The sequence below is a fragment of the Homo sapiens genome, chromosome 8 (genome assembly GCF_000001405.40).
Source record: "Homo sapiens chromosome 8, GRCh38.p14 Primary Assembly".
In the NCBI taxonomy this organism is placed as follows: Eukaryota; Metazoa; Chordata; class Mammalia; order Primates; family Hominidae; genus Homo; species Homo sapiens.
In genome coordinates this window covers 71059796-71067641 of record NC_000008.11, presented here as the reverse complement: position 1 = coordinate 71067641, position 7846 = coordinate 71059796, and the positions used below count along the sequence as shown (strand labels likewise).

The following is a 7846-nucleotide window of genomic DNA, read 5'->3' as shown; positions in this document are numbered from 1 at the left end:
GATCTTCTTTGATATTAAGATTTTTCAGGGCAATGGTCATGAATATGACAGATCTTTTCTCATACACGTCCACTTTTATTTAGGGTTAAGTTAGAATAATTTATTATTGTTAAGAAAATGATTCTCTTTAGAAAATCCTCTGTTGGTTTTGACATACTGTTGAATATTTTTCATAGGCACTTTTTCATCCTTATCACAGAGCTTATACTTTTTGTCCTCTCTTAAACCAGTGGTTCTCAACAGGGGGTGATTTTGCTTCCCCAGCCCCCACCCTCACCTCTGGCAATGTCTCCAACCTCCGCCTCCCAAGTTCAAGTGATTCTCCTGCCTCAGCCTCCTGAGTAGCTGGGATTACTGGTGCCCACCCCAACACCTGGCTAATTTTTGTACTTTTAGTAGAGACAGGGTTTCGTCATGTTGGGCAGGCTGGTCTCGAACTCCTGACCTCAGGTGATCCACCCACCTTGGCCTCCCAAAGTGCTGGGATTACAGGTGTGAGCCACCACGCCCAGCTGACATTTCTAATTGTCACAGCTGGGTGTGGGGTGGGTGGGAGAGATACTACTGGCACCCAGTGAGTGGAGGGCAGGAATGTTTCTAAACATTATACAGAACAGCCCCCCACTCAATAATAAAGAACTATCCTGCCCAAATGCCAATAGTTCTGAGGTTAGAAAGCCCTGTTTACACTAAAAGTCCTTCTCCCACTCAACATTACCACTGTCCTCGCATCTTTCAAAACAGGGTAAAACCCTGTCTACCCAGCAGACTCCTCTCACTAACCAAACAAGCAAAAGCATATTGGCATGCTGGTAACTATCACCCTTCAATGTCAGAAACATTCATAGCTTAGGTGTTTACTTATAGAACCACGCTTGCCTTTCTGTAAGCTGCAAAATCGTTTAAATCTAGTTAATGCATCTGATGGGAAATGGTATATAAGAAAGTATAGAAAAAAAAAGAGTATGTATATTAGTTTCCTAGAGTGATCACAACAAACTACCACAAACTGTGTGGCTTACAATGGAAATTTATTTTCTCACTGTTCTAGAGGCCTGATATATGAAATCAAGATGTTAGCAGGGATGCGCTTCCTCTAAAGGCTCCAGAGGAGAACTGTTTGTTGGCCTCTTCCAGCTTCTTGTGGCTGTATCACTTCAATCATTGCCTCCGTCTTCACATAGCCCTCTGCCCTTCAGTGTCTTCTCTTCTGTCTCTTATAAGACATGTCATTGGATTTAGGGCTCACCTGGATAATCTAGGATAATCTCATCTCAAGATTCTTAATTAATTACATCTGCAAAGGCCATATTCCCAATAAGGTCACCTTCACAACTTCCCAGTGAAAATATCTCTGGAGGGGTCACTGAACCCACTATAGTGTGTGTTGGGGAGAGAGGCTGGTGTGTGCATGCATATGTGTGCATCCAAAATCACTGTGACAAGGCCAAGTTCGAAATAAGCAAAAGGTTTTCTCAAAGTGTAAAGTAAGGTTTAGCATACTTTTATTTGGATTAATAATATCACTAGAACTGTCTATTGAATTCAAAAAATGTATTATCTCTATCTATAAGCTATTAAAAATAAAGATCAAGTACCAGAAAACCTGATGGCTTGAGGAAACACCAGAGAGAAATTAGCAGGTCTACTGCCCAGGTAAATTGCATGTATTATCCCAGACAGATGAGGTTCAGCATAATTTAAAAGGTACACACCTCCACAACCCTAGATAGTCCTCAAGTGTTTCATTTTTCATTGTTTAATCAAGGGAGAGAAAAAATGATTATGGAAATCAAATGAACCTTCAAGGAGAAGGAGTAAGACCTTGAAAAAACATTTTGCTGAAATCTCTTTATTTTGGAAATTGGGAAACTAAGATGCCCCACAGGCTTCCATCTTTTACAGCTTGCCCAAGACAAGATCACACAGACAGATGACTGAAGCAAGATTAGAAGCTCAATACCATCATTCTAGACCAACATTCTTTCTCTACATGCTGCATTATGTGTAACTTACTTTCCACATACTACAAAGTAAACTATTGTCTTTATTCTCTTTTAGTTTAAATAGAGAGGAAGCCACCTCACACCCTGTATTGATCAGCTTGGGCTGCCGTAACAAAATACCATAGCCTGGGTGGCTTAAACAACACATGTTAATTTTCTCACAGTTCAGGAAGCTGGAGGTCTGAGATCAGGATGTAAGCACGGTCCAGATCTGGTAGGGGCTCTCTTTGGGGTTTGCAGGTGACTGATATCTTGTTGTGTCCTCACGTGGCCTTTCATCTGTGCATAATCAGAGAAAGAGAGGGAATAATTTCCTCTTCTTCTTATAAGGCCACCAATCCTGTCAGATTAGAACCCCACTCTTACCTCACTTAACCTTAACTACCTGCTAAAATTCCTATCTCCAAATGCAGTCACATTGGGGGTTAGGACTCCAATATATGAAATTTTGGGGAACACAATTCAGTCCACATCACACCCCCTATGTTTTGTCAATAAAGAGTATTTATAACTTCTCAAAATGCTTTCTTCTTATATCTTATTCAATTTTTTATGTCTTATTTAAAAGTTATTTAATAACTTTGTGATTTGTTCCACTTAACAAATTGAACAACTGAGGTTTAGAGAAGCCTCAGTTGGCTGGCCCAAGGTCATATAGCTACTGAGAGGCAAGTTTTATTCATACTCTAGAGCTCTTTCCCAGCGTCCAAGATGACCTTCAGTGTTGGTCATTTAATAGCTGTCTTTATAACACATCTATAGACACTGCAAAACACAAGGCTTCTAAAAAGTCCTTAGAGAGACCTTCTATGAAAGTCTAATATTGCAATTCTTTCCCTTGGCTATCTAACACATTAGTGACTTGAACCCTATAGAATGGAAACAGCTTAATATGTCATCTGTTCGCATATGCACCAGGAATATGGCTTGAGAGGAGATTCAGCTGTTCTCACACTAAGCCATCAAGTCCTTAAAAAAACCATAAAGGAATAAATGATTATTCACGGTGCCAAAAGCACATGTATTTTGAACAAGAAAACACTATGTTAAAGAATGTGGGAGAAAAAACTAATGCAGATTCATTCAATGAGCTTTTCATTGAAACCTCTAAAATTGAACACAAGAAATGTTTCATTCCATACGTGGTATCAATATTTTACCAGATATAAAAAGCAAAACTATTGTCTGTTGACAATGATATAAATTTCTAGATCATTCTGGGCATAAACATAAAAACTCAATATATAAAATATTTTCACTATTACTTAAAGTTAAAAAAACTTTATAACATATTTACTGGTATTATTAATTTTTATAGGTGTGATGACAGTAGTAGTATTATTATAGAAGAAGAATTATTTTAGAGATGCATGTGGAAGCTAATATTCAAGAGTGAAATGTTATAGATCTGTGATTTTCAAGTACTTCAAAAAATTAAGCAAATACACATTAAATCTCAATGATGGGTATATGGTAGTTCATGACACTCATCTCTATACTTTTATCTCTAAAGATTTTATGTCTAAAGATATGTCTAAAAATGTATAAGGAAAATAATAGAATATGTTATAAAGTTACCAAAAATCTTGGAAGCAAAATATTATTAGTGTTTTAGTTAATAGAGTGTAACTACTAAATTGTGTATGAATGACCCATAAAAGAAGACACAAGGTAAAAGATACACATATATCTGTTTAGAGAAATACATACCCCGTTCTTCCCATAACTGCTGTTAGGTGAGTATACATTGATCAGTAAATCTGAACCAACCCTAACTATGTCTATTTTTTAGAATTGAAAACAACTTTGTTTTGAGTCAGATGGGCCAGTTTGATTTCAATAGCTAGCATTATTCATCTTGTGATCCATGGTTAATGCAAAAATGCACCTTCAGGAGAATTTAGTTCACATGCAACTAACATTAAAAGCAGATTTTTTTTTGTGGAAAGCACACAGGAGCACACACACATTCTCTTTAGGTTTTGGTTTGAAATATTTTTCAAAAGGTTAAAAACCTTCCCCTTTGGGGGTATTCATAAAGCCAGAAATAGTTTTTTTCTTTTCTTTCTCTTTTTTTTTTTGTCACTTGCTCTGAATTTTTTTCCCCAAGATGAAATACAGGAAGCCAATTCAGAGAAGCTAGTAAATTCAGTCATTTTAAGGGCCCCACACTTCTCAACCCACATGCAGAATTCTTGCTCCTACCCAGAAGTACAACAGCCAGATAGATGACAAATATGACCCTGGGTTTAAGTGGAGGCTCTCCCCTACCTGAGGGATTTTTCAAATAAAGCTTCCCATTTTACTTCTCGTGTGAATGGTACAAGTGTGTGTTTGAGCAGGAGGTGAATATGCCAGGGAAACAAATCTGTTCACACACTTGTACTCTCCTCACCCCAGACTCTTTGGGGAACACCATCTTGCCTCTGGAAACTATTAGTCATCATCATCTTCCAGTTTGCAGTTATCACAATAAATTTATTATTTTATTTGACAAATAACTCTGGAATTGACCTATCAAGATTAGAGAATTTGGAAACACATTAGATTAGCAAAGATGCTAAACCAAGTTACAGGAAAGAAGACTAAACTTACCTTATAGCAGGAAGACAAATGAGGTGTGTGTAAGTGCAAGAATACATCTGCAAGCTCTCACAAATTATCCCTGGGAGTTTAGGGAGTAAATGTACGGCTTATAGCTCGAATACAGAGGGGCCGGAGACAAAGAAGCAGTGTAATCAATGGACTGCCTCTCAATTTTAGAAAATGTTGAAACTGTATATGTAATATTTTCCTATTAACAAAGAAATAAGTGTTTCTTAAAAAAGGTATTAGAAAAAAATCATTCCTAATCCTGCCCCCGAGAAATGGTGCACTATTAACACCTTGCTCCATAGCCTTCCAGATGCTCTGAGAGGTTTTCCCTGACAAATCTGACTGAAAAAAGACCCAATTTGTCACTATCAACTCCACTGTGGAAATTTTGTGTGGGAAAGCTTGGAAAACCAAAACCCAACTGGCTTAAGCAGGAAAATATATTAACCCAGAGGCTCAAATGATGTCTCTCTCTGTGCTAGGGACTGAATGTTTGTGTCTCCCTGCTCCCGCCAGATTTGTATGTGGAAATCTCAACCCGCAAGGTATTAGGAGGTGGGGCCTTTGGGAGGTGATTATGTCATGAGGGTGGAGCCCTATAAAAGAGACTCCAGAGAGATCTCTTGTCCCTTCCATCATGTGAGGTTACAACAAAAAGCCATGCAGGAAGTGAGCTCCAACCAGACACTCAATCTCTTGACACCTTGGTCTTGGACTTCCCAGTCTCTGGAACAGTGAGAAATAAATTAAAATCATTAAAATAAAGCCACCCAGTCGATGGTATTTTCTTATAGCATCCTGAATAGACTATGAAACTCTTTCCCTTAGATCTGTTGTTCTTCACGATGGCTACATTTGCAGGCATCCTGTGACGGCAAAATGGCCACCAACAGCCAGAGGCTCTATCATCGCAGATGTAAATGCCTGAGAAAATAAGCTCTTCTTCCTACCAGTTGCTTTTGCCAAAGACCAAGGACTGGTTCCGGTTGGATTCTGTGGTCATCCCTGAACCAACTACATTGGCCAAAGGAACACAAATAATTCAAGAATGCTAAATGCCTGGGAAATGGATAATGCTTCTTTTGTCTCTAAGAGTAATCAAGCAGTAATCATAACATGCTGCAGTGTCACAGAGCGATGACTATAAGAGTTCTTTACATTTTTATGCATAGCACCCTAAATATACTAGGATGTACTCAGAATTGTCATCCCACCTTCCCAACTACTGGCCAAGCTGTATTACTGAGAGAGGTCTTTCCTGATTCCTTCTTCCCTCAGACCAATGGCTCTCCTGGGTGGCTTCTCACTCCCTTGGGATACAGACACTTAGCCTCTATATCTCAGCTGATTTTCAGGCTAGAATCTCCTGCTCTGCCATTTCTCTCTCTCTCTTTCTCTCTCTGTCTGTCTAATGAAAACACCCTTTCTCTTTAGCATTGTCTACAGTAGTGTCAATTCAGAAGGCTTTTTGAAAGAAACCATTTGGTGAACTTTGAGATCATTGTTTTGCATATGTAACAGGAGACAAGAAACTAAAGGGAGATATATTTGGTTCCACCTGGAATATGTGTAATTATTAATAAGAGAGCACAGAGATGATGGGCCAGATGGTACTGGGAATTGATGGGTAAGGCTGGAACACTGCTCTGTCATCTTGCTGCCTCCTATGGGTTCTGGAGTAAGTTATGAGAGGACCAGTGTCTAAAGTAATGTCCGAAGGCCCGTATGTCATGATAGCCACTATGATGGCAGGGCCACTTCTGTCTCTATGGGAATAAAGATGGAGAGCCCTCAAGAAAGGCAGGGATGTAGGAAGAGCACAGACACTAGAGTCAGTCTGCTTGGGTTTGAATCCACAGCTCTGCAACTTACTAGTATGTAACCTTGACCATCACCTTGAATAAGATAACCATGAATGAATTTAACCTTTGCTTCTTTGTGCCTCATTTTACTTGTATATATAAAAAGGACATATTAAAACTACCTACCTCATGGGATGATTCTGAAGATTAAACAGGATAACACATATGAAAGGCTTATTACAGTGCCTGGTACATACGCCCTCAATAGATGTTTGCTGGGTGATTAGTAACACTACTATTACCACTACTAGAACTACGTGGTGATTTAGAATCATAAATTGGAGTCAGACTACGTAAGTGCAAACAAAATTTTGTCTCTTACTAACCATGTGGTCTTGACCAAGTTGCTTAAACTCCCCAAGATTTAGTTTGTTTATTCATAAAATAGGAACAACAAGGGTACTTCCCTAACTGGGGTAGAAATAAAGATTAAATTAAATAAATTTATCAATTGGCTCTCAGATATTGTCTGTTGTTTTTTTTCTAGGGCATGCCATTTGAAGGGTTGTGAGAGGCCCTCCTCTCCTCAATGTCTCCACAAATAAAAAAAGAAATGTCCCCTAATTGCCATTTCTGTCCAGGCATCTGGAATTCTGGAGTTAGAAAAGCAGTTTAAAGGCAGTATTCACTGTTATATGTAAATGCCCTGAGGTAGCCACAAGGAGGGGTACCCAGCCAATAGCTCAGCAGTTTTGTTGGTTCAGCGAATGCTTTCCAAGGGGACAATTTCAGGGTGGGTGAGTGAAGATAAGCACTGTAAAGGGATGAGGACACCCGCACCTGGAGGAGCCTGGAAGTAGAGTAGCCTTGGATGTGGAGGTAACGCTCCCTAAAAATGTTACTGGCTCTGTCAACTTGGTCAAGGACTTCTGTCAGATAGTTCCATTCAGCTCAGGGTCTAGAATAGGCCACAGGGCCCAGATTATTCCCTAGGTTCTGGGCCCAGCATCTCCACAAAAGAACAGGCCAACTTCAACATCCACAAATACTGTCTTTAGATTTGGAAAAACTGGAGGTATCTGAAGAAATGTTGAGGCCACATGTAACTAGTCATGGAGCGAATGATTTAAACACTCTCTATGGTCCCAGCAATCTAGTGTTTTCCAAACAGTATTTTAATGATGATACAATTTCCCTCTTCAGATGTGGAGAAACTGGAGAACTGAATAATTTCCTAAGACCACAAAGCACAGAGGAGGCAAGAACTGTCTCAAAAAAAATGGGATGAGCCTAACCAAAAGAAATCTTCAACTTACTAGCAGAACAAGTTTCTTAAGATTTCATCTATGGAGAAAACTCCCAAAGAAAATTTGGGACTCTCTCTTCCCAAAGCAAGTTTTAAAATGCAACCAGACTAAACAATGGAGACCACAGGAACGATCC

At 39.2% G+C, this 7846-nt stretch overlaps 1 protein-coding gene across 1 annotated transcript in view; it reads right to left on the bottom strand.

The window, feature by feature from the left end:
* Positions 1-1836: 1836 nt before the first annotated feature.
* XKR9 (XK related 9) overlaps positions 1837-7846 on the bottom strand; it is a 396467-nt gene continuing 390457 nt past the window's right edge. The window contains exon 5 of the mRNA XM_011517527.4: positions 1837-2285. Coding sequence (XP_011515829.1) covers positions 2194-2285 — 92 coding nt within the window. The 3' untranslated portion in view covers positions 1837-2193. The remainder of the gene's footprint in view (positions 2286-7846) is intronic.